Source organism: Homo sapiens, chromosome 7 (genome assembly GCF_000001405.40).
Source record: "Homo sapiens chromosome 7, GRCh38.p14 Primary Assembly".
Taxonomy (NCBI): Eukaryota; Metazoa; Chordata; class Mammalia; order Primates; family Hominidae; genus Homo; species Homo sapiens.
The window spans coordinates 55905331-55932267 of NC_000007.14; the positions used below are offsets into that span (position 1 = coordinate 55905331).

General features: G+C 42.3%; 1 protein-coding gene across 2 annotated transcripts in view, besides 1 other annotated feature; it reads left to right on the forward strand.

Moving 5' to 3' along the window:
- ZNF713 (zinc finger protein 713) overlaps positions 1 to 26937 on the forward strand; it is a 54770-nt gene that overhangs the window by 17875 nt on the left and 9958 nt on the right. Inside the window, exons 2-6 of one of the 2 annotated variants that reach the window (NM_182633.3) lie at positions 923 to 1049; positions 6286 to 6738; positions 7305 to 7393; positions 17832 to 17958; positions 18277 to 18369. In NM_182633.3, coding sequence (NP_872439.2) covers positions 7307 to 7393; positions 17832 to 17958; positions 18277 to 18369 — 307 coding nt within the window. In that variant the 5' untranslated portion in view covers positions 923 to 1049; positions 6286 to 6738; positions 7305 to 7306. The remainder of the gene's footprint in view (positions 1 to 922; positions 1050 to 6285; positions 6739 to 7304; positions 7394 to 17831; positions 17959 to 18276; positions 18370 to 26937) is intronic. The other variant, NM_001366796.2, reaches the window with a different exon arrangement.
- Positions 6489 to 7688: an enhancer, noted in NCBI's record as "BRD4-independent group 4 enhancer chr7:55979512-55980711 (GRCh37/hg19 assembly coordinates)". NCBI's record gives its function as "activates an origin of replication core promoter dependent on BRD2, P300/CBP, MED14 and CDK7 cofactors, and independent of BRD4, by STARR-seq in HCT116 cells {active_cell/tissue: HCT116}" and the evidence as "EXISTENCE:reporter gene assay evidence [ECO:0000049][PMID:35650434]".

Sequence of the window (26937 nt, forward strand, 5' to 3'; positions counted from 1 at the left end):
TCTATGTATTTATATCTGTGTATTTTAAAATCACTACATTAGACTCATTACTACACTAGTGTGTCTAATGCACAGCTCAGACAGAACCACTACACAGGCAGTGAGCTTCACTGGTATTCCTTAGGCATGGATTTTGGTATCCATGGGGGTTCTGGAACCAGTGTAACAGACATAAAATACTAATTTAGCACACTTTGGGAAAACTACAATTAGGTAATCTCTGGAGCCCTCTTCAGTTTGTACTGAAAAGAAAAATGGATCAGTCTGAGCTGTTCTGCACCCTGGGTGCAGAACATCACCCCACTGCACCCATTGCAGGGCGCACATGTTTAGAGTCATTTTGTTCCAGACTGACCCATTATCTTCACGTTCCTGGAATTTATGATACAAAGAATAATGTATAGCCAATCAATACCTTATGTGATTTTGATGTAGATTTTTGGTAAACAGCTCAGGAACTGCTCCTTATTTTCCTTTAAAAATCCACTTATGGCTGGGCGCGGTGGCTCATGCCTGTAATCCCAGCACTTTGGGAGACCGAGACGGGCGCATCACCACATCAGGAGTTCGAGACCATCCTGGCCAACATGATGAAACCCCGTCTCTACTAAAAATACAAAAATTAGCTAGGTGTGGTGGTACACGCCTGTAGTCCCAGCTATTTGGGAGGCTGAGGCAGAAAAATCACTTGAACCTGGGAGGCAGAGGTTGCAGTGAGCTGAGATCGCACCACTGCATTCCAGCCCAGGCGACAGTGCGAGACTCTGACTCAAAAAAAAAAAAAAAAATCCACTTATAACTGCTGTTAATCAGAGTGTATTTTCATGGCAACTTGAATCTATGCTCCCAAGTTGCAGTCCTCAAGCTTGGCCCAAATAAGCTCTCCGCTTAGATTAACTTTGCCTCAACTTCTTCCTTTTAGGTCAACATACCTGGCCTAAGGAGGCAGGATTGAGTGACTCTCACTCACCACTGGTGTTGCTCTTTGAAAGTGGCGCTTGGCACCAGCATGAACTCCCCATCCTCAGCAATCCCATCAGGTGTTTTGGGTAAGTTCTCCTGAATTCAGACCTCCCATTATTTGGGTGAAGGTGTAGACATTATTTGGGCTGTTTTTCAAACCTTCCCTTTTCCTTAAGAGTGAGGGCTTCAATCTCTGTCTTTGCACAGGAGATTCAGGTCAAGATATCTGCAGAGAACTGCCTTTTTTTTTCTGCCTCTGTCACAGCGGAAAGTTCAGGTCAAGGTTTTTCTGCTTCTGCCTCAGGACGGGAGGTTAGGGTAAGGGATTGGCAGTGTGGCACCTATGGTCTCATTTTATACAGCATGCTTTTAAGATTGCAGCTGTGTTTTATTTTTGGGAATTGGGGCTTGGTTTTTCATTTGTGACCATCACCAGCTGGGTTTGTGTATGACACTTATGGGGCGTCCTCTCGTAAATATCTAGGAAAGTGGACCCACCTAACACATGGTGGTCGTAAGCAGCAGTAGCCAAAAATGGGATCCTTTGAAATGTAAAGTAATTCATTTGCATACACAATTAAGGGGGAAAAGCTGGTTTTAGAACCAGACAACCTGAAGAGGAGACCTACTTTAGGTTTGTCCCAGCTGAAATCTGATAAGAAATTTGGAAAGACTTTTTATGTTACAGCTCTGTGGTCAGAAATCAGCTTAATTAAAAGCCTATATTTAGGTTATAACGTTTTCTGGAGCAAGGAAGGCCTCTCCACTTTTTTCTCTTTTAGATCCTGTTTCTGGGAATTTTTTTAGCCAGCTGAAGTCCCTTTTTAAATGTGTTCCTTCCCTGTTTGCTTCCTATGTTGGCATTTTTGCTGAGAAAAATGTAAAACTTCATTGGCCTTTTTGAAAGCTTTTGTAGAAGGAGCACTGTGGACGCATTGCATAGCCTGGTATTATGGTGTTTCCTTCTTTTGGGGCACTGGGGATTAAATATAAAAGTGAGATTTTTGATTTTTAAATATCTAGGTGCACTGCCTTCCAGTTGTGCCTGCCTTTCATGTATTTAAATATTAGGCCCTGGAAACTGCAGATACTTTCTTTGTCCTGTATTCATTAAAGGGCTTCATCCTGAAGTTAGTTCGTTCATGTTTCTGCAGAAGACATGATTTCATTCTTTTTTGTGGCTGCATGGTATTCCACGTGCAGGTTTGTTACATAGACATGTTGCGTAGCAATGTGGTCTGGGTTTCTGATGTATGCATCACTCTAATAGTGAACATTGCACCTAGTAGGTAATCTTTCAACCCTAACCCTTGTCCCACCCTCCCTCCTTTTGGAGTCTCCAGTGTCTGTTGTTCCCCTCTGTATGTCTACATGCACCCATTGTTTAGCTCCCACTTACAAGTGGGAATGTGAAGTCTTTGATTTTCAGTTTCTGAGTTATTTCACTTAGGATAATGGCCTCCAGCTCCATCCATGTTGCTGCAAAAGGCATGATTTCATTCTTTTTTATGGCTGCCTAGTATTCCATGTTGTATATATGTTACATTTTCTTTATCGAATCATCGGTTGATGGACACTGAGGTTGATTCCATGACTTTGCTGTTGTGAATGGTGCTGTGATAAACATACAAGTGCAGGTGTCTTTTTATATATAATAATTTATTTATCTCTGGATAGGTACCCAGTAGTGGGATTGCTGGGTCGAAAGGTAATTCTATTTTTAGTTCTTTGAGAAATTTCTATGCTGTTTTTCATTGAGGTTGTACTAATACTAATTTACATTCCCACCAGCAGTGTATACATGTTTCCACTTCTCTCCATCCTCACCAACATCCGTTGTTGTTTTTTTTTTTTTTTTTTTTTTTTTGAGATGGAGTCTTGCCATGTCGCCCAGGCTGGAGTGCAGTGGTGTGATCTTGGCTCAGTGCAACCTCCGTCTCCCAGGCTTAAGCGATTCTCCTGCCTCAGCCTTCTGAATAGCTGGGATTACAGGCATGCACCGCCGTACCCGGCTAATTTTTGTATTTTTAGTAGAGACGGGGTTTCACCATGTTGGTCAGGCTGGTCTCGAACTCCTGACCACATGATCCGCCTGCCTTGGCCTCCCAAAGTGCTAGGATTACAGGCATGAGCCACTGCACCTGGCCAACATCCGTTGTTTTTTGACTTTTTAATCATAGCCATTCTGACTGGTGTGAGATGGTATCTCCTTGTGGTTTGAATTTGCATTTCACTGTTGATGAATGATGTTAAGCATTGTTTCATATGTTCGTTGGCTGCTCGTATGTCCCACTTTTTGATGGGTTTTTTTTTTTCTTGTTGAGTTCCTTGTAGATTCTAGATATTAGTCCTTTGTCAGATGCATGGTTTGCAAATATTTTGTCCTGTTGTCTGTTTACTGTGTTGAAAATTTCTTTTGCAGTGCAGAAACTTCTTAAGTCCCAGTTCTTTATCTTTGCTTTTGTTGCATTTGCTTTTGAAGTCTTAGTCGTAAATTCTTTGCCTGGGCCAATGTCCAGAAGAGTTTTTCCTAGGTTTTCTTCCAGGTTTCTTATAGTTTCAGGTCTTATGCTTAGGTCTTAATGTAATACATCTTGAGTTAATTTTTGTAGATGGTTAAAGATAGGGGTCCAGGCCGGGTGCGGTGGCTCATGCCTGTAATCCTAGCACTTTGGGAGGGTGAGGTGAGGTCAGGAGATCGAGACCATCCTGGCCAACATGGTGAAACCCTGTCTCTACTAAAAAATACAAAAAATTAGCTGGGCGTGGTGGCACGTGCCTGTAATCCCAGCTACTTGGGAGGCTGAGGCAGGAGAAATCGCTTGAACCAGGGAGTCGGAGGTTGCAGTGAGCCGAGATCACGCCACTGCACTCCAGCCTGGTCAACAGAGCAAGACTCCGTCAAAAAAAAAAAAAAAAAAAAAAAAGATAGGAGTCCGGTATCATTCTTCTACATGTTGGCTATCCAAGTTTTCCCGCACCATTTATTGAATAGGATGTCCTTTCCCCATGTATATTTTTGTTAACTTTGTCAAAGACCAGTTGATTGTAGGTAAGTGGCTTTACTCATATATGGATTAGCTATTCTGTTCCATTGATCTATGTGTCTGTTTTTGTACCAGTACCATGCTACTTTGTTTCCTGTAGCCTTTTAGTATAATTTGAAGTCACATAATGTGATGCCTCCAGCTTTGTTCTTTTTGCTTAGGATTGCTTTGGTTATTCAGGCTCTTTTTTGGTTCCCTAGGAATTTTAGGATTGTTGTTTCTAATTCTGTGAAAAATGACATTGGTAATTTGATAGGAATTGTGCTGAATCTGTGGATTGCTTTGAACAGTATGGCCATTTTAATGATATTGATTCTTCAAATCCATGAGCATAGGATGTTTTTTCATTTGTTTGTGTCATCTACCATTTCTTTCATCAGTGTTTTGTAATTCTCCTTATAGAGATCTTTCACATCTTTGGTTAAATGTATTCCTAGGTAATTTTGTGTGGCTATTGTAAATGGGATTGCCTTTTGTAAATGGGAATGCTATTGTAAATGGGATTTGCCTTGGTTTGGTTCTCAGCTTGAACGTTAAAAGTATATTGAAATATTACTGATTCTTTTACTTTTTTTCTTATTTTTGAATATATGTATGTGTGTATATATATGTGTGTGTATATATACGTTTATGTGTGTGTGTGTGTGTGTGTATATACGTTTATGTGTGTGTGTGTGTGTATATATATATATGTATTTTTTTAAGAGACAGGGTGTCATCATGTTGCCCAAGCTGGTCTTGAACTCGCAGGCTCAAGCTATCCTCCCACCTCAGCCTCCCAAAATGCTGGGATTATAGGCATGAGCCACTGTACACTAATTTGTATCTTGAAACTTTTACTGAAGTCATTTATCAAATCTTTGGGGTTTTCTAGGTATAAGATCATGTCATTAGCAAACAGAGATCATTTGACTTACTGTTTTCCAGTGTGAATATCCTTTATTTCTTTCTCTTGCCTGATTGCTGTGGCCAGGACTTCTGGTACTATGTTGAATAGTAGTGGTGAGAGTGTGCATCCTTGTCTTGTTGTAGTTCTTAGGGGAATGCTTTCAACTTTTCCCCATTCGATATGATGTTGGCTGTGGGTTTGTCATATATGGCTTTTATTATTTTGAGGTATATTCCTTTGATGCTTGGTTTGTTGAGGGTTTTTTGGTTTTGTTTTTGTTTTTTAAGACAGGGTCTTACTCTGTCACCCAGGCTTCAGTGCAGTGGTGTGATCTTGGCTCACTGCAACCTCTGCCTCCCAGGCTGAAGCGATCCTCCCACCTCAGCCTCCCAAGTAGTTGGGACTACAGGCACAAGCCACCACACCCAGCTAATTTTTGTATTTTTTGTAGAGACAGGGCCTCATCATGTTGCCCTAGCTGGTCTCAAACTCCTGGCCTCACGTGATCTGCCTGCCTCAGCCTCCCAAAGTGCTGGGATTACAGGCATGAGCCACCGTGCCTGGCTCCACTGCGCCCCAGCTTCTACCCATGGGTTCTGTGACAGGTTCCAGTACTCTTCCCTCAGCCTTCCCCTCCAGCCACGGTCATTCTCACCTGTAACCTTGGTTCTTTCTGCAGACAACTGGCTCTGCCATCTCTAGTTGCCCATCTTGGGGAAAAACCCGTCTGCTTCTCCTGACTGTGGGGCTTCTTCCAAGCTTATGCTTAGGGAATGAAGAACCTATTTCTTAAAGTGTTTTTAAATCACTCCTGAAAGGTCTGACTGTTAATGAAGGACTTTTGAAATGTTAGATTCCTGCCATGCTTGGAATGGCTGCCTTATCTCACAGGACCATTTCACTGGAACTGCAGTTTTCTCTTTTAAAAAATTGCTCCTCAGAATGGCTTCTTTCTTTATTTCCATCACTCACATTTTAAAATAGATTTCTCAGGTCAACCTTTGTGAACAGAAAAAGATGTATTCCTTCATGATTATTAGCAAATAATAATACAATCTTACTTTGTTGTTGAAACATGTGTTTTTCCATCTTTCTAAAGAAAACAGTCATTGTTTCTCGAGGCAGAGAGCATGTGTTCTCTGTTCTGGAAAAGGTAAGAAAAGGACTGAGGCTGAATTTGTTGTTATTGACACATGTACACCTCTGCCTTTTGTAATGTGTGAATCTGAGAAATTCTAAAAGTGCTTTTTGATTCAAGAATGCCACACCTTACTGTGCTCTGTCTGTGTGAAGAATAGTTTGTATGTCTCCTTACAGACTCTGTAAGCCCCTAGGTGGCTGAGACTGCTGGATTTCTTCTGCTGACCCTGGTGCATCTCATTACAGGTCTTCAACCTAAAATTCTATCTTACAAGATCCTTGCCAGGATGCAGATTTGAATACTATAGTGAAGTCTGTACATGAAGAAATGATGCTTTTAGGGAGGAAAAAAAAAGGTAATAACAACCTTCAAGAGCCCCTTCATCTCAACTCGGCATAAACAAGGCAAGATTCTGAGAGTGGCCGCCCCTGGAAGCAGAAATTATTCTTGTGGCTATCCATTGGCTCCTGAGGCTCTAATCAGAGATGGGGCACCTTTAGTACCAGGGGAGTGACTGTTGCCCATAAGGTACTGGACATCAACTTTCAAGAGCAGCCCCAGCTCCTTAAGCTGCTGGTCCTGGTGCATCTGCTGACTTTCATGTAGAAGATAGCAGAGCTTTGGCGACATTACAACATAAGAACTGCAGAGAGGTGTAATCCCAGTGGAAGACTGAATCGAGAGACTCAAAAAGGAAGGTAAACACTTGGAAAAATCAGAATAGTGACATCTCCTTTGCATATTGGAAGGATCACCTTAGGGGAGAGGAGAGGCAGATCTCTGGAGTATTCACTTTGGGGTGAATTCATTCCTTGTGGGGATAAAGAGTAAGAATGGACCCTCACCCATGTGCTCTCCATCGCCTCATCCCAGTAGTTCTCATCTACACTTAGAGTCACTTGGAGACTTTACAATTTAAAATGCTGTTGCTCAGACCCATGCCAGATCAATTAAATCCAAATCTCTGAGTGTAGGGGCTGAACACTGGCTTCTTTTTAAATTGCCATCAGTATTTAGCCAGGGCTGAAAGCCCCTGAGCTCCCCTATGCCACAACAAGGGGAGTTGCACCCCCGAAGACAGACAGTTCTGCATTGAATTCCCGAACTCCTGAACATCATAGAAGAGTAGAGACGTCACAACCTTTAGGCTTATGTCTTAGAGGGCTTCTCAGTACTGTCTGCCATACCTACACAAAGCAGAATCTCCAGGATTTAAATTTAACCTTCGTGTCATATATTAACAAGATGCTTCTCTTTTTCCTAGTTATGCCTTCTCAGAATGCTGTTTTTTCTCAGGAGGGGAACATGGAGGAGGAAGAAATGAATGATGGCTCACAGATGGTGAGATCTCAGGTAAGTTCAGTTTTCCTCTCCTCTGAAATGCCAGTGTTCTCAGAATGTGGGCACTTTTACTTTTTCATTTCTCAGAAGTGCTGAGTCACAAAAATCCAGAGCCCAGGAGATTCATGTGACAGATGATATACTCTCCACAGCATGTTTTCCATTCACCTATGTAGCTCTTTCTAGCTCTTCCCTCCTTCCAGCATTTTCACCAGACTCAATTTCATGGATTCCTGCCTGTTCTGGACGCTGTGAAGAAAACAAAACAATGGACTGTCTTTTAATCGTCCTTAAATAGCTCAGTAAAATTTAAACAATGCTTGCATTCTCTGTGTAAACACAGTGACTGATGCCGAGGCCCCTAGGACTGCTTGGAGCTAATGGGATTAATAAGAATGCCTGAGGGTAACATCTATCACAAATTAATGTTTCCCAAGCATCTGTTGTATCTCTTCCAAAACCTGTTTAAATCTGTTTTGATTCCTTTTTTTTTTTTTTTTTTTTTTTTGAGACAAAGTCTCGCTCTGTTGCCCAGGCTGGAGTGCAGTGGCACGATCTCGGTTCACTGCAACCTCCGCCTCCTGGGTTCAAGTGATTCTCCTGCCTCAGCCTCCCGAGTAGCTGAGACTACAGGTGCCCACCACCACGCCCGGCCAATTTTTTGTATTTTTAGTAGAGATGAGCTTTCACTGAGTTAGCCAGGATGGTCTCGATCTTCTGTCCTCGTGATGCACCCACCTCAGCCTCCCAAAGTGCTGGGATTACAGGTGTGAGCCACCACGCCCGGCCTAAGTCTGTTACGATTCTATAATCTGATTCGGTATTATGTAAACTGGTGAGTATGAATGCAACAAGAGTTGTTTCTATGAAAACTAGTCGAATGCTTTGGAAGGAGTTGATAAATGCTGTCACTTTTTAAAAATTGCTATCAAATTAGGTGTTAGCAATACTACCTCACTGAAGAAAAATCATAAAACTCTCAGGATTCCTCCACAAATATTTGCCACGTGTCAGTTGCTTGTGTAATTGACTTGTGAAACTGCTTCATGAAACAGAAACTGTTGCATTATAGGTATGAGCACCCATTCTTTAAAATCACTCATAGAAAAGGCTTAGCTGGCTGAGTGCAGGGGCTCATGCCTGTAATCCCAGCACTTTGGGAGGCTGAGGTGGGCAGATCACAAGGTCAGGAGTTCCAAGACCAGCTTGACTAATATGGTGAAACCCTGTCTCTACTAAAAATACAAAAATTAGCCAGGCGTGGTGGCAGGTTCCTGTAGTCCCAGCTACTCGGGAGGCTAAGGCAGGAGAACCACTTGAACCTGGTAGGCAGAGGTTGCAGTAAGCCAAGATCGTGCCACTGCACTCCAGCCTGGGCAACAGAGCGAGACTCCATCTCAAAAAAAAAAAAAAAAAGAGGCTTAGCTTTATTTCCAAAGATGAGAAAATGAATGCACATTTATATATTTTAAATTAAAATAAAATATTTAAGATCTCTTTTATGGATCGCTAGTTTAGCCATCTTTTTTGCTTAACACATCAGATACCGGTCTCAATTGCTTCAGATAGGATTTCTATCATTCCAATTATATGTGATAATCATTATCCTTATGTAGCCAATAAACTCATTGAAGGGGATTTTTTTGGTTTGTTTTTTGTTTTTTGTAGAGACAAGGTTTCACTATGTTGCCCAAGCTGTTCTCAAACTCCTGGGCTCAAGCCATCCTCCCACCTCTCCCTGCCGAAGTGCTGGGATTGCAGGTGTGAGCCACCACACACAGCGTGGGGGGCTTGTTAAAATCCACATCACACAACTAATATTCAGAAATGCATAATGTTGGATGCTGCTGTGAATGCAAAAGACAACAAATACAACAGGTGCTGGGAGAAGGGAGAAGTCTGATTGAGACTGTAGGGATGAGGGAAGACTTCATGAAAAAGGCAGAGTTTGAATTTGTGTTGATACCAGCAGGTAGGGTTTGGAGATTAGAGAAAACGGGGGACCATTGCAGACAGGAAATAAAACTTGAGCAAGAGCAGGGACAATAAGGAGACTGTCAGCTAGAGCTGAGCTTTTATTTGGTGTATATTAGTGCTTTGGGATCTTTGGGTTTCAAGGGATAGATTCATTTGGTTTATTTTATTTTATTTTATTTTTTTTGAGACAGAGACTTACTGTGTCACCCAGGCTGGAGTGCAGTGGCACAATCTCGGCTCACTACAACCTCCGCCTCCCGGGTTCAAGTGATTCTCCTGCCTCAGCCTCCCAAGTAGCTGGGACTACAGGCATGCGCCACCACGCCCAGCTAATTTTTGTATTTTTAGTAGAGACGGGGTTTCACCATGTTGGCCAGGCTAGTCCGCCCCCATCAGCCTCCCAAAGTATTGGGATTATAGGCGTGAGCCGCCGCACCTGGCCCATTTGGTTTATTCTTAATTAACTGTAAGACTCCCCAAAGACAGGAATAGAAAGACATCTAGAAATAAGTGGCATGTCTGCTTTTCCACATTCTAGCCCAAGGAGTTAGTTTTAATTTTCTGGAACCATTTATTATGTTTAGAAGGAAGATGATTCATTCACTCAATAAATATTTTTTGAGTAGCTAGTATGTGACAAGTTTTTTTTCTTTTCCTTTTTTCTTCTTATGGTCTACTGGTCATTTCATATGTGACAAAAATTATGCTTTTTATCAGCTAGACATCACTGAGAAAAATAGACATGACCCCAAACCCAAGGAGCTTATTGAAAGACATTTAGCAACTATACTAATAAATTGCAAAAGAGATGTGTTTTAAACAAAATGAAAACAGGGTGCTATGAATACACATTAGGGAATCAGGGAGAAACTGTGGGGAAGTGAAATTTAAGATGAGAAAGAAAAGATAAGTAGAACCTACGAAAAGTAAGTGGAAAAGAGCATTTTGGACATGTGCTAAAAATCATCTGCAAAAATCACGGGTATATTTGAGAAATTAAAAGAAGACCACTGTGGTTGGTGTGGAAGGAGGGAGAGAATGACTTGAAGTGAGCTTGGAGAAGTGAGCAGGTCTTAAATACACAAAGCCTGTGGCCATGAAAACAGGTCTGACTTTTACTCTGAGTGCAGTGGAAAGCCTTTGGGGGAATTTAAGCAGAAAGATAACATAATAAGTAATCCAATTCTACATTAAAAATCATCCTGGTGCTATATACTAACTGAATTTGTGAGAGGCAGAGGTTGAAAGGAGAAAAACCAGTTAAGCTACTGTAGCATTCTCAGTGATAGAAAATAGCATAAAACTAGTCATTGGAGGAAAGGAGGGAGATTTGAGTGCTTTCCTTTGGAAACAGCAGAGATTAGCTAAGGGGTAAAAGCAAAGGAAGAAAAAAGATGACTTCAAAGAGTGGAACCCAGGAAATGGCACTATTGGTAATGGTAAATCAGATCATGTCATTCCTCTGCTCAAAGCGCATGGCTCCCATTTCACTCAGAGTAAAACCCAAAGTCCTTAAGATGGCCTAAACAGTCCTATAGAATCTGGCCTGTTACCTGTCGAATTTCATCATTTACTTTTCTTCCCCTTATTCCATTCTAGCCATCCTGGCCTCATTCTTCTTCCTTAAACATGGCCCTGGGGCCTTTGCACTGTTAACCTGTCAAGCTTCTTTCTCAAATGTCACCTCTCCAGTGCCATCTTTCCTGACCACGCTATTTAAATTTGTAACTGCCCCACACCCATATTCTTGAACCCTTACACTACTTTACTTTTATCTTCTGACATACTATATAATTTACCCAGTTATGCTGTTTGTTGTCTACTTTCTTTCCTAGAATATAAGCTTCATAAAGGCAGGGAGTTTTTGTCTCTTTTATTCACTGGTACATCCCAAGCACCATGCCTGGCATATATATAGGAAGCACTGAATAACCATTCATTAAACACATGGGGAATTTAGCATATGATAAAGGTAACATCTCAAACCAGTGATAAAAAGCTGCTTTGTTCAATAATTGATGTTGGGATTTCTGGGAAACCATCTGGAAAAAGATAAAGTTGGATCTGTACCTCATACTTCACATCAGAATAGTCTTCAAATGGATCAAATATTTAAATATGAAAAATGAAACCACAAAAAGTTATGCAAGAAAAAAATGGGAGAATTCCTTTATAACTTTCACCAAAGAAAAACTTTCTAATCACAGTGATTGATGGGTTCAACTCATTAAAAACACCAAAAGCGGCCGGGCGCAGTGGCTCACACCTGTAATCCCAGCACTTTGGGAGGCCTAGGTGGGCAGATCACAAGGTCAGGAGATTGAGACCATCCTGGCTAACACGGTGAAACCCCGTCTCTACTAAAAATATAAAAAATTAGCCAGGCATAGTGGTGGGCGCCTGTAGTCCCAGCTTCTTGGGAGGCTGAGGCAGGAGAATGGCGTGAACCCGGGAGGCGGAGCTTGCAGTGAGCCGAGATTGCGCCACTGCACTCCAGCCTGGGCGACAGAGCAAGACTCTGCCTCAAAACAAACAAACAAACAAACAAAAAACACCAAAAGCATCTGCATGGAAAAAAAAAAACAACAAACTATAAGCAAAGTAAAAAGACATGTCAAGTTGAAAAAAATATTTTGCCACTCGAATTACAGTGGTCTCATCTTTCTAATATATAAAATACTTCTCTAAATCAGCAAGAGATTAGGAGTCCAACAGAAAAAGGTACAAAAGGCCAGGGACAGTGGCTCATGCCTGTAATCCCAGCACTTTGGGAGGCTGAGGCAGGCTGATCACTTGAGGTCAGGAGTTTGAGACAAGTGTGACCAACTTGGTGCAACTTCATCTCTACCAAAAATACAAAAATTAGCTGGGGGACTAGTGGTGGTGTGCACCTGTAGTCCCAGCTATACAGTAGGCTGAGGTCAGAGGATCACTTGAGCCCAGAAGGTGAAGATTGCAGTAAGCCATGTTTGCACCACTGCACTCCAGCCTGGGTGACAGAGTGAGACCCTGTCTCAAAAAAAAAAAAAGAAAAAAAATTTTAAAGACAGTTCACAGCAAATAAAGTTCAAATGGATCTTAAACACAGGAAAAGTGTTCATCTGTACTGCAAACAAGAGGAAATTTGTGTTAAAACTAGAGAAAGCTGGATATTTTATCACCAAGCTTGATATTTGCCATGAGTTTGATATTTTCCACAAGTATAACATATTCTGTTGGCAAAGCTGTGGGGAAACAGACACTCTTACACTGCTGGTGTGAATGTGACAGATTGCATTTTCAGAAAAATGGCCAAAATACCTCCCATCCCAAATGCTTTCTTGCAAGTGACTTTGACACTCATCCCATTATAGATGTGGAGATCTGTGTGCTCTCCATTGGATCTCGGCAAGGCTGTGACTGGAGGATGCAAAGCTTTGTGACTTTCAAGGCAGATCATAAATGGCAGTAAGACTTCTACCTCATTCTGTTGGGATGCTTACTCTAAACCCGACCACCTTGTCAGGAGGAAACCCAGACAGCCCATGGAGAAGCCCATATGGAGAGGAGCCAAGGCCCACAGCCCTAGCCGAGCTCCCAGCTGAAAGCCAGTACCAATTTGCCAGCCTTGTGAGTAAGCCATCTTGAAAGTGAATCCTCCAATCCCCAGTCAAACCTTCCCACCTAGTCCTGCCCAAATTGCAGATTTATGAGCAAAGTAAATGATACTTGCTATTTTAATCCCCCAAGTTTTGGGATGGTTTGTTATGCAGCAAGATAATTGTTAGGGATTTTAGTACCTGAAAGTGGAGTGTTGCAAAAACAGAAACCTAAACCACAGGGCACTGACTTTGGAACTGAGCACTGGGGATAAGATAGAAAACGAGTGAAATAATAAAGGGCCTCAAGGCGAGTTAATGGAAAACTAAAGGGCCTTTGTCAAAACTCAAAGGATAGTAAGGAGAATGTTATTAGAAGCTGGAGGATAGAGGACCCTCGAAGAAGAAATGTTGGATAACATTGTTACCTTCAGTAACAAGGAAAATAGAGGCCAGGCATGGTGGCTAATGCCTGTAATCCCAGCACTTTGGGAGGCCAAGGCCTCACTCGAGGTCAGGAGTTTGAGACTAGCCTGGCCAACACGGTGAAACCTCGTCTCTACTAAAAATACAAAAATTAGCCAGGGCATGGTGGTTTGCGCCCGTAATCCCAGGTACTCAAGAGGCTGAGACAGGAGAATCGCCTGAACCCGGGAGGCGGAGGTTGCAGTGAGCCCAGATTGCACCACTGCACTCCAGCCTGGGTGACAGAGAGAAATTCTGCCTCAAAAGAAAGAAAAAAAAAAAGGAAAATAGAGAATATATTTAATGAACTCAACGATCTACTAAAGAGATTCTCAAGTAGAAAATTGAAAGTGCCAACTGGCAGTTTCTGGCTGCCTAAAGTAAAATGTGAGGGAAAAAGATAAACTAACTGAAGAACTGTTAAATATAAGTGAACAATGAATTCCTGAGTTTGAAAAGAAAACTTTCTCATTCACATCTGTCCAAGCAGCAAATGATAACCAAATTCAGAAAGGGATTCACACCAAAGATCTAACCCAGGGTGGACTATAATATGCTGTGTAACAACTTCAGAAGGATCCAGGGCAATGCCTCAGAGGACCTGTCCTCTCTTAAACGCAAGGTTTCTAAGAATGGTTAAGGTGATGTGCCAATGCAGTCTCACAGGGAACCCAAAGGAGAGAATGGCTGATCTCAAAGAGATTTATGGGTGTGGCATTTGTATTGTAGTGTAGCTGGATAAATTGGTAAACACTCCAGTTTTTTTTTTTTTTTTTTTTTTTTTTTTTTTTTGAGATGAAGTCTTGCTCTGTTGCCTAGGCTAGAGTGCAGTGGCACGATCCTGGCTCACTGCAACCTCCACCTCCCGGGTTCAAGCAATTCTCCTGCCCCAGCCTCCCGAGTAGCTGGGACTACAGGCATGTGCCACCACACCTGGCTAATTTTTTAAATTTTTTTACACTTTTTATTGAAGTAAAGGAACATACAAAAATACACATACTATAAATGTTAAAAGCTCAATTAATCACCAAATGAATTCATTCGTGCAATCTTCATCCAGATCAAGAAACAGAACATTACCAGTATCCCAGAAGATCCTTCTGTGTGTTCTCTCCTACTCTCTACCTCAAGTGTATTTTTTTTTTTATTATACTTCAAGTTCTGGGGTATGTGTACAGAACGTGCAAGTTTGTTACAAGGGTATACATGCTATGAACAGCACTCATGTAAAACAGCAACCTTAATTGATAAATGTTGTGTGTTCTGACTGCTCCACCATCTGGCTGTTCCTCCATCTCCCTCTCCCCCGGCTTCCCTATTTGCTGAGACACAGCAATATTGAAATTAGGCCAAGTAATAACCCTACAATGGCCTCTGAGCATTCAAGTGAAAGGAAGAGTCACATTCTTCACTAAAAGGAACCAGGGATTTTTTGCCACTCATGGATGAGCAAAGAAAGTGGTTTCTTGAGATGGAATCTACTCCTGGTGAAGATGCTTTGAAACTGATTAAGATTAAATGAGAAGAGCATGTCGAATGCATTTGAAATAGGCCAAAAGCTTGGCCTCTTGGGCCAAACAGCCAAGTCATGTGTACAAAGGAAAAGCTATTGAAGAAAATTAAAATTGCTACTCCAGTGAACACATGAATGATAAGAAAGCAAAACAGCTGTGTTGCAGATATGGAGAAAGTTTTAATGGATTGGATAGAAGATCAAACCAGCCACAACATTCCCTTAAGCCAAAGCCTAATCCAGAGCAAGGCCCTACCTACCTCTCTTCAATTCTCTGAAGGCTGAAAGAGGTGAGGAAGCTGCAGAAGAAAAGTTGGAAGCTATAAGAGGTTTAAGGAAAGAAGCTGTCTCGATAACATAAAAGTGCTAAGTGAAGCAGCAAATGCTGATATAGTAGCTGCGGCAAGTTATCCAGAAGACCTAGCTAGGATCACTGATGAAGGTGACTGTACTAAACACATTTTCAGTGCAGATGAAACAGCCTTATATTGGAAGAAGATGCCATCTAGGACTTTATTTATTTATTTATTTATTTATTTATTTATTTATTTTTATTAGTAGAGACGGGGTTTCACCATGTTGGCCAGGCTGGTCTCGAGCTCCTGACCTCAAGTGATCCTCCTGCCTGTGCCTCCCAAAGTGCTGGGATTACAGGCGTGAGCCACCATGCCCAACCCAATCTAGGACTTTAATAGCTAGAAGAAGTCAACTCATGGCTTCAGAAGACAGGCTGACTTCTTTTGTTAAGGGATAATGCACCTGGTGACTTTAAGCTGGAGCCAATGTTCATATTATTCTAGAAATCCAAGGTTCCTTAAGAATTATGCTAAGTCTACTTTGCCTGTGCGCTAGAAATGGATCAACAAAGCCTGCATGACAGCATACCTGTTTACGCATGGTTTACTGAATATTTTAAACCCACTGTTAAGAACCACTGCTCAGGAAAAAAAAAAAATCCCTTTAAAAATTACTGCTCATTGACAATGCACCTGGTTACCCAGGAGCTCTGATGGAGATGTACAAGAAGACTAATGCTGTTTTCGTGCCCACTAACACAACAACCATTCTGCAGCCCACGGATCAAGGAGTAATTTTGACTTTCAAGTCTTATTATTTAAGACATGCATTTCATAAGGCTCTAGCTGCCGTAGATAGTGATTCCTCTGATGGATCTGGCCAATGTAAATTGAAAGCCTCCTGGAAAAAAATCACCATTCCGATGCCATTAAGAACATTTGTGGTTCGTGAGAGGAGGTCAAATATCAACATTAACAAGAGTTTGGAAGAAGTTGATTCCAACCCTCATGAATGACTGAGGCTTTCAAGATTTCTGTGGAGGAACAAACTGCAGGCATGGTGGAAATAGCAAGAGAACTAGAATTAGAAGTGCAGCCTGAAGATGTGGTGGAATTGCTGCTTAAGGATGAGGAAAAAAAGTGGTTTCTTGAGATGGAATCAGTTCCTGGTGAAGATGCTTTGAATAATGTGGAAATGACAATAGTGGATTTAGAATATTCCATAAACTTATTAGATAAAGCAGCAGGAGGATTTGAAAAGACTGACTCCAATTTTGAAAGAAGTTCTACTGTGGTAAAAATGCTATAAAACAGCATCACATGCTACAGAGAACTCTTCCGTAAAATGAAGATTCAGTGCAGCAAACTTTATTGCTGTCTTTTGTTTGTTTGTTTGTTTGTTTGAAACAGAGTCTCGCTGTGTCGCCCAGGCTGAAGTGCAGTGGTGCAGTCTTGGCTCGTTACAACCTCCACCTCCCGGGTTCAAGCAATTCTTCTGCCTCAGGCTCCTGAGTAGCTGGGATTACAGGCACGTGCCACCATGCCTGGCTATTTTTTTGTATTTTCAGTAGAGACGGGGTTTCACCATGTTGGCCAGGCTGGTCTCAAACTCCTGACCTTAAGTGATCCACCCACCTCGGCCTCCCAAAGTGTTGGGATTATAGGCATGAGCCACCACGCCTGGCCTTATTGCTGTCTTATATTAAGAAGTTGCCTTGGCCGGGCACAGTGGCTTAACGCCTGTAATCCCAGCACTTTGGGAGGCTGAGGCGGGCAGATCATAAGGTCAAGAGATTGAGACCATCCTGGTCAACCAACATGGTGAAACCCTGTCTCCACCAAAAATATATAGCTGGGCGTAGTGGTGCACACCTGTAGTCCCAGCTACTCAGGAGGCTGAGGCAGGACAATTGCTTGAACCTGGGAAGCGGAGGTTGCAGTGAGCCGAGATTGCGGCACTGCACTCCAGCCTGGGCAACAGAGTGAGACTCTGTCTCAAAAAAAAAAAAAAAAAGAAGTTGCCACAGCCACCCCAACCTTCAGCAACCACCTCCCTGATCAGTCAGCAGCCATCAGCATCAAGGCAAGACCCTCCACTATCAAAAAGATTACAACTTGCTGAAGGCTCAGATGATCATTACCATTTTTTAGCAATTGAATGTTTTAAATTAAGGTATGCACATTATTTATTTAGATGTAATGCCATTACACACTTAATAGACCAAATATAGAGTAAATTTAACTTTTATAGGCACTGGGAAACCAACAAATTCATGTGACTCACTTTATTGCAATATTATTGTGGTGTCTGAACTGAACCCACAATATCTCTGAGGTGTCCTTGTAGTTTTTTAATCATTTGGATGAAATGAGAGTCATTTTTCCCGTGCAGCAAACTGTAAACACTTAAACGCAGAAATTATTTCATGTATGTTTTTGTCTTGAAAGATGATAGAAAGGTACTAATTTTTTTAAAAGAAAAGTTTGACCTGAACAACTCAGAGTCCTGAAGACTATCAGCACAATGGCTTAGATAACCTGGTGCTACACTTTCATTCCCTCCCTTGAGGGTCCCTGTAAGAACCGTTTTTGCCTGAGCAGGGATGTGCTTGATGTTTCAGGAATCACTGACGTTTCAGGATGTGGCCGTGGACTTCACCAGAGAGGAGTGGGACCAGCTGTACCCTGCCCAAAAGAACCTCTATCGAGACGTGATGCTGGAGAACTACAGGAATCTAGTTGCACTGGGTGAGGATGGCATCCCTGTGAAACCGGAAGCCGTTCACGTGGGTTTATTTCCTGAACTAGTAGAAGCCTGCAAAGTTTTTGTGAATATAGTTTGGGCTGGGATAGAAGAATGCTAATCAGTTTTGGAGTCAAAGACCTTTGTTTTCTGCTCTTTCTCCTCCAATGGAATGTCTTGATTGAGTTTGAGATGAGTGGCTTTATTTTGCTGCCTCTGAAGTCTCCCCTCCAGAGGCTCTAAAGATTGAAAAGGTTGGGAGTGTGTCTGAGAATTTTGTTCCCAGTACAAACTCCTAAGATGTATGTTACTCCTGTGAATAGGGTATCAGCTTTGTAAGCCAGAGGTAATCGCGCAGTTGGAGCTAGAGGAAGAATGGGTGATAGAAAGAGACAGCCTGCTGGATACTCATCCAGGTAAGTGCACACTCTTGGGCACTGCTACTTAATGAGGGAAAACAGCCACTTCTGAACCACTCAGTGGAGTGTTCCAAAAATCTCCCTCTGGGATATAAGGAATACTAAGCCTTTTGAAAAAAATCAGTTCATATTTTATATTTTTCTGAATTTGAAATGGCTGTCTTATTTTTTCTCATTGAACAGATAATATACACTTATATTGTTTTAAAAATGCACACAAACCAAAGGTTATTTTGAAGGTATCCATTTAAACACCCATAAATATCTTGATATTACAGATATCCACACAGCACTTTCTTTGTATTTTTTATTTACACATCCCTTATCAGTATTCTTTAAATCTTTCTTTTCCATGAGAGGTGATCCGAGAAGAAATTTTTTAAAAAGCTTTCTTTTCCATATCAAAAATCTTCTGCCATTTTAATCTATTTTTCATCTTTTCTTTTTCCTTTTATCATCAAACTCTTGACACTTGTATACAACCCACAGCCTAATTTCTAATTCTCTTGCTCTCCTTTGTGATATGTCCCCAATTCCTACCTCTACTACTAACATTGTTTTCTTGGAGATTACCACTAATTTCCTTCCAGTCAAATCCAGTGGCTACAAAGCCAGTTAGGATTGTGTTGACTTTCCCTTCTTGAAATGTTCTTCCACCCTGGCTTGTGATGCACACGATTCTTGTCCCTTCCAGCCTCTCTCTGTATCTCCCTCTGTCCCTTTCCTGCATTTTCTTTCTCCTTATTCTCCTAAAAATATGTATCCCTATGGACTGGCTGTTCCACTCTGCAGTAAAGTGCTTTTAAGTAGTCCTTCTGTATCATTTTCCCATTTCTCCATTTCTAGTCCCAGTATTTCACCCACATTCTCCTGTCAGAATTGAGATTATGGCTGGTCATGGTGGCTCACGCCTGTAATCCTAGCACTTTAGGAGGCCGAGGCAGATGGATCACCTGAGGTCAGGAGTACGAGACCAGCCTGGCCAACATGGTGAAACCCAGTCTCTACTAAAAATACAAAAAATTAGCCAGGCATGCTGGCACTCGCCTGTAGGCCCAGCTACTTGGGAGGCTGAGGCAAGAGAATTGCTTAAACCTGGGAGCGGAGGTTGCAGTGAGCCAAGATCGCGCCACTGCACTCCAGCCTGGGTAACAGAGCGAAACTCCATCTCAAAAATAAAAAAACAATTTAGATTATATTTTTGTTTATTAGTGTCATGCTGTCATTTTACTTAAATATTTCAAAACCTGGATCTGTTGGCTTTATACTCTCTTCTTTAAAGCATTCCCTTAAATATGGGATTTCTTGACCAAAAAAAAAAAAAATCCCAACCACCTTAGTTTCCTATTTCTGGCATACCACCTACGATGTTCTGCCTGGCTGTTTTAACAAGGAGTGGACTGCTGACTGTACACCAGATGCTGAGTTAGGTAGTTTCTACTCTGGTCCATGACACCAGGTGAACCTACCCCATCTCTGTGAGTTCCCACTCTGGCTCTTTGCTCTGGTACCTGGCTTCATCGTTTGGACTTGGTTTTCTGTCATTCAAACTCTTCGGCTTTTTCAAGTTGACTTTGACTTGGCTATCCTTCTTGCTTTTAATGCTCTAAGTGATCTTAGGTAGAAAACCTTGTTCCTGGCCGGGCACAGTGGCTTACGCCTGTAATCTCAACACTTTGGGAGGCCGAGGCGGGCAGATCACGAGGTCAAGAGATCGAGACCATCCTGGCCAACATGGTGAAACCCTGTCTCTACTAAAAATACAAAAATTAGCCAGGCGTGGTGACGTGCGCCTGTAGTCCTAGCTACCTGGGAGGCTGAAGCAAGATAATCGCTTGAACCTGGGAGGCAGAGGTTGCAGTGAGCCGAGATTGCACCACTGCACTTCAGCCTGGCAACAGAGCAAGACTCCATCTCAAAAAAGAAAAGGGAAGAAAAGAAAACCTTGTTCCTGTTTTAGCCTCACTGAGATCTCTTAGCCTCACTGAACCAGAATTTTCACCTAACCAGTGCTCACATTCCATGAATAGAGTTGGTAATTAAGACATTTTGTCAAGAAGCCTGGGCACCTTCCCTGACAATGCTGGGACATATTTCTACAGCCTTCCACATCCCCAAACCTGGGGAGTAGGAAACTAAAGGAACAAATTAGAGAACTCCCTTTTCAGGTAAATTTCCAGGGCAGGGACCTACAGCAGAGAGCAGAGCTATTCCTTCCCCCAGGCACCTATGCTGCCATCTGTAGGACCCACACTATCTCCTATTGTGTCCCTCTACACAGACCCCCAACTCGAAAAAATAACTGCTAATTTAGGAAAACTTCCAGATTTTGACCGGGCTCAGTGGCTCATGGCTGTAATCCCAGCACTTTGGGAGGCTGAGGTGGACAATCACTTGAGATCAGGAGTTCAAGCCTGGCCAACATGGTGAAACCCCATCTCTACTAAAAATACAAAAATTAGCCAGGCATGGTGGCGGATGCCTGGAATCCCAGCTACTCGGGAGGCGGAGGCAGGAAAATCGTTTGAATCTGGGATGCAGAGGTTGCAGTGAGCCAAGATTGTGCCACTGCACTCCAGCCTGGGCAACAGAGCGAGACTCTGTCTCCAAAAAAATAAAAAGAAAACTTCCAAATTTCATTGTGCATCTATATGTGGATGCCCAAGGCTCTTGGTTCACATATAAGCTTGAGCAAGTGGTTTTTTTCACATCTCTTATCAGGGACAGGCAGCCTAACCGTCTTCCCTAAGGTGACTGTTTGCATTTCTTCAATATCCTGTGAGACAGAATCAGGGGTTCCCCTGAGAGGATGTAGTAAAACATTTCTGTTTGTCAGGAGGCTAAGAGAATGATAGAGCTTATGCAGTCTAATTCTGCACGCCCACTAGGGTACTGCATGCCTCATTGTTATTGACATTTGCTGGTCCTTATTTATCTAAAATCTTTCTTAAGCTAAGCTGAGACCTGGAAAATACCCAGTAGATTTAGCAGCAAGAAAATTGGCAATTATATTATTGAGAGAAGTGACAGGGGGATGATTGGAAGAACAGTCAGTTTGTACATTGTTGCATGAACAACGGGGAGGTTTAAAATGAAAAAATTAGAGCTAGCAAGTGTGTAATATTCTTATAAGCAGCTAGACTGAGGGCCGGGCACAGTGGCTCATGGCTCATGCCTATAATCCCAGCACTTTGGGAAGCCAAAGCAGATGGATCACAAGGTCAGGAGTTTGAGACCAGCCTGGGGTTCACCAACATGGTGAAACTCCATCTCTACTAAAAATACAAAACTTAGCCAGGCATGGTTGTGGGCGCTTGTAATCACAGCTACGTGGCAGGCTGAGGCTGGAGAATCACTTGAACCTGGGAGGTAGAGGTTGCAGTGAGCCAAGACTGCACCACTGCACTCCAGCCTGGGTGACAGAGTTAGACTCCATCTCAAACAAACAAAAAAAGAAGCAGCAGCTAGCTAGAGTGAGGAGTGGGAAGGGGAAATAATAAAGAGGATATTAGCAGCCAGAATAAAAGGTAGTGTCAAAACAGGATTGTTCTAGGCCAGGCTCAGTGGCTCACGCCTAGCACTTTCGGAGACCGTGGAAGGATCCCTTGAGCCCGGGAGTTCAAGACCAGCCTGGGCAACATAGTGAGACCCCCATCTCTACAAAAAAATTAAAAGCCGGATGTGGAGGTATGAGCCTGTAGTCTCTGCTACTTGGGAGGCTGAGCTGGGAGGATCACTTGAGCCTAGGTGGTCGAGGCTGCAGTGAGTTACGATGGCACCACTGCACTCCAGCCTGGGCAATAGAGCGAGACCTTGTCTGAAAAAAGCAAAAGAATTGTTCTAAGCAGGAACGATTTTACTTGTTTATAATGCTGAAGGGAAGGAACCAGTAGAGAGGACAAGTAAAAAAATAGATACAGCTGGGTGCTCGCGCCTGCAATCCCAGCACTTTGGGAGGCCGAGATGGACGGATCACTTGAGGTCAGGAGTTCAGGACCAGCCTGGCCAACATGGTAAAACCCCGTCTCTACTACAAATACAAAAATTAGCTGGGCTTGGTGGCGTGCACCTGTAATCCCAGCTACTCGGGAAGCTGAGGCATGAGAATCGCTTGAACCCCGGAGACGGAGGTTGCAGTGAGCCAAGATTGCACCACTGCACTCTAGCCTGGGTGACAGAGCAAGACTCTGTCTCAAAAAAAAAAAAAAAAAAAAAAAAGCCACAAGAGATGGAGCAAGGTTCTAGAAGAGATGGGAGTGGGATTAGAGGGAAGGACATTAGGGTGACTGTATATGTCAGTAAATATGTCAGTGGAAGATTTGGGGGAGTTCACACATCATGACTTCTGTTTTCTTGGCAAATTAGGAAGCAATTTCCTTTGTTGAGTGTAAGGGAATTGGGAAGGCAGGTAGAGGACTCATGGTACATTTGCTGAAGCTTACAAGAGTCAGTGGAAGCTGACCAAAGACGAGCAGAGGCAGCACTGAGCAGTGATGAGGGCCCCCGTGAGACTCTGCCCCATACAGCTGTGGTTTCTAATTTGCATGAGTATGCTCTTCCTCCTGTTATATTTAACACTGGAAAGGGTTTATAGGACAGGGGTTGAGGGTGTTAGATTTTAGGGACTGAAGGAGGAAAACTGTGTGAAACTGTATGAGAGTTAATTCAAGTGATTTGACAAGTCTAGGAAGTGACAGGAAGTAGAATGAGGCCTGACGAGGACTTAAAACTAAAAGACCAAGGGAGAGTCAAAGAAATGGAGGTGTAGAAGAGGTCAGAAAGAGACAGAATGTGAGTAAGGCAGGAGAGTGTTACAATGAGTTGGAGATTTCTTAACGTGGAGCAGGCAAGGTCCAGAATATGAATGTATTGCCATGTAAGTAGACTGTTGAAGGTGGAACAAAGGTGAAGGCACAAACAACTACCAGTTGGATTACAAGATGGAAGAGAAGCACCCATGTAATAGCAACTGAACTGAAAAAAATAAAACACCTAGGAATAAACTTCAACAAGAGATATGCAATACCTTCATAGGAGAAACTTTAAACACTTCCGACAGACACAAAAATAAACCTGAATAAATAGACATGCCAAGATGGCAATGTCCCTACTATACATGTAATACAATTCCATAAAAAGTGCCTGCAGGCCGGGTGCCAGGGCTCACACCTGTAATCCCAGCACTGTGTGAGACTGAGGCAGGTGGATTACTTGAGTCCAGGAGTTTGAGACCAGCCTGGGCAACAGGTTGAGAGCCCATTTCTACCAAAAAAAAAAAAAAAAAAAATAGCCAGGTGTGGTAACACACGCCTGTAGTCCCAGCCACTCAAAAGGCTGAAGCAGGAGGATCAATTGAGCCCTGGATGTCGAGGCTGCAGTGAGCTATGATTGCACCACTGCACACCAGCCTGGGCTACAATGTGAGTCCATCTCAAAAATAAAAAACGTGCCTACAAGAGTTTGAGGGGAAAGCTAGGTAAGCTTATCTAAAGTTCATATGGAAAATCCAAAGCACAAAAATTATCAAGAAAATTCTGAAAAGGAAAATCGATGAGGGAGATTATTCCTACTAGATATTTAAAATATACAGTAAAATTTTATTAATGAAGTCAGACCAACTGAACAGAATAGACAAGTCAGAAGTAAACCCAAATACATGTGGGCATTTAATATAAAGGCATTATTTTAAATAATGGCATCATTTCAAATTAGGAGGTGAAAAGTGGGAATTGTAGTAAAGTGTTGAGACAACTGGTGCTTTTGAAATGTGCACCTCCTCATATATGGTAGATAGCCATCTGGAGAGAGACAGAATTGGATCTATAGCTTACCCCTTGAGCCAAGATAAACTCCAAAGGAAACAGATTTTACACGTAAAACATGAAACTATAAGAGATCTGGAAGAGGCTGGGTGCAGTGGCGCACACCTGTAGTCCCAGCTACTCAGGAGGCTGAGGCATGAGAACCGCCTGAGCCTGGAAGGTGGAGGTTGCAGTGAACTGAGACTGCGCCACTGCACTCCAGCCTGGGTGACAGAGCAAGACTCAAAAAAAAAAAACTGGAGAGAGAGACCTGGAAGAAAACATGGGAGACATCTTTTATAACCTTGAAATGGGGGAGTTTTTTCTGACTATAATTTAAAATCCAGAAGCCATTAAAGAGGAGATTCATATATTCAATACACACAAATCCAAAAATTCTGCATGGTATAAAATAATAATTCTGCTTGATGTAAAATAAGTGAAAAGATAACAATGGAGGAAAATATTTTCAACTTAGGTCAAAAGAGCTGATCATCCATGAATATTATAAAATGCTCCTCTTAATAAGAGGCCAACAGCCCAATAAAAATAATATGAACAGTTCTTTTTTTTTTGAAATAGAGTCTTGCTCTGTTGCCCAGGCTGGAGTGCAGTGACACGATCTCCGCTCACTGCAACCTCTGCCTCCCAGGTTATGAACAGTTCTTAAAGGAATCCAGATACATTTAACATATGAAAAAATGTTCAATCTCAGTCATAATAAGAGAAATACAAATTAAAGCTGCACAAATTATATTTTCTTGCCTACCATATTAGCAAAAGTTGAAAAGTTTGGCAGTATACACCGCTGGGTCCATGAGGAGGAAAGCATTTTCATACATTACTGGGATCAGGTGAACTGGAAGTCAGCACAAAGATGTCCTAGACCAGTCATGGGGCTTCCTTTCCACATACCTTGTTTGGTGTTGTAGGCTCTTTGGATGAAAAATAATGTAGTCTAGAGTAACATGTTTTTGTAAATAAAGTTTTATGGGAACACAACCACACTCATTCTTTTACATAAGAGGCGGGAGGATTGCTTGAGCTCAGGAGTTCAGGACCATCTTGGGCAACATGAAGAAACCCATAGCCACAAAACACAAAAATTAGCTAAGCGTGGTGGTGCACACCTGTAGTCCCAGCTATTCGGGAGGCTGAGTGTTGAGCCAAGAGGATCACTTGAGCCTAGGAGGTGGAGGTTGCAGTAAGCCGAGATCGTGCTACTCGCCTCCAGCCTGGGCAACAGAGACTGTCTCAAAAATAAAACAACCAAAAAACCATTGTCTGTGGATTCTTTCACCCTGCAACAGCAGAGCTGAGTGCGACAGAGACCATATGGCCCACAAAACTTAAAATATTTACTATCTGGCCCTTTACAGAAAAAAAACTTGTCAACCTTGCCAAAGCAATAGTTGTAAATTATTGTTAACCACCACTTTCATTAAAAAATGCATTTTTCTTGCCATCCATAAGATCTATATAATCTATAAAATTGAAATTGAGGCCTAGCGCAGTGGTGCATGCTTGTAATCCCAGCACTTGGGAGACGAGGTGGGTGGATCACGTGAGGTCAGGAGTTCGAAACCAGCCTGACCAACCTGATGAAACCCTGTCTCTACTAAAGATACAAAAATTAGCCAGGCATGGTGGCGGGCGCCTGTAATCCCAGCTACTCGGGAGGCTGAGGCAGGAGAATCTCTTGAACCTGGGAGTTGGAGGTTGCGGTGAGCCGAGATCACGTCATTGCTCTCCAGCCTGGGCAACAAGAGCAAAACTGTCTCAAAAAAAAAAAATTGAAACAGAAGTGTTACCCAACAATATTTATCGTTATCACTGTGTCTGATGAACTCTGACATTTTCTGTCTTTTTTTAGCATATTCTGTTTGTTTCTAATTTGAATTAACTACTGAATTAAAGTCATAACCCACTATAAATTGACGCATTTTTAAATTAATAAGAGAACCAAAAATATGATGATGCTTTACATGTAGAAAGGATTAATATTTTTTCAAAAAAATTGTTTTCCCCCTTCCCTTTCTCCCTAATTCTCTCCCTCCTTTCCCTCTCTTCTTCTCTCCCTCCTTCTTTCCCTCTCTCCTCTCCCTCCTTCTTTCCCTCTCTCCTCTCCCTCCTTCTTTCCCTCTCTCCCTTCTTTCTTACTTCCTTGTTTCCTTCCTTCCTGTTTCCTAAACAATGTAGTTCAAAAGCCATGGATGGGCCTGAGCAGGGGAAACATCTGCTTGGCAAGGCATGCCCTGGTGCGGAGGCCCTGCAAGATGTTCTTCAGGTTGCCCAGTGGCATCACAGCATGCTCATACTAAGCTAGAGCTTAGGCAATGAATGCCTTGAACTCCAGACTCCTGTGTAGTAGGAGCCTAGAGGACCATACCTCCCTGTGGGTTCAGGAACCAGGTCCACAGGCTGCAGATTCAGTGCTAAGAGACGTGAGAGGCAGTCTGTAGAGCTCCAGCCAATCATTTCAAACACTCTGGAGTCAAAGTCCACGTGCAACAGAAGCCTTTTGGCTGAAAAGAAAGTGTTCCAGTTGATAGTTTGGTTGAAATAATACATCGGTTTAAAATTAATCTTCTCAATCAGGTATAACTGTAATCACATATACTTTTAATTTTTCCATGTGTAATTTAATCTTAGACCATAGTCATTTGTATATATTTTGTACATCTATTGATCTATTTTCCATAACTTTTTGACTTGGACTTTTTTTTTTCTCTTAAAAATTTGTGGCCAGGCGTGGTGGCTTACG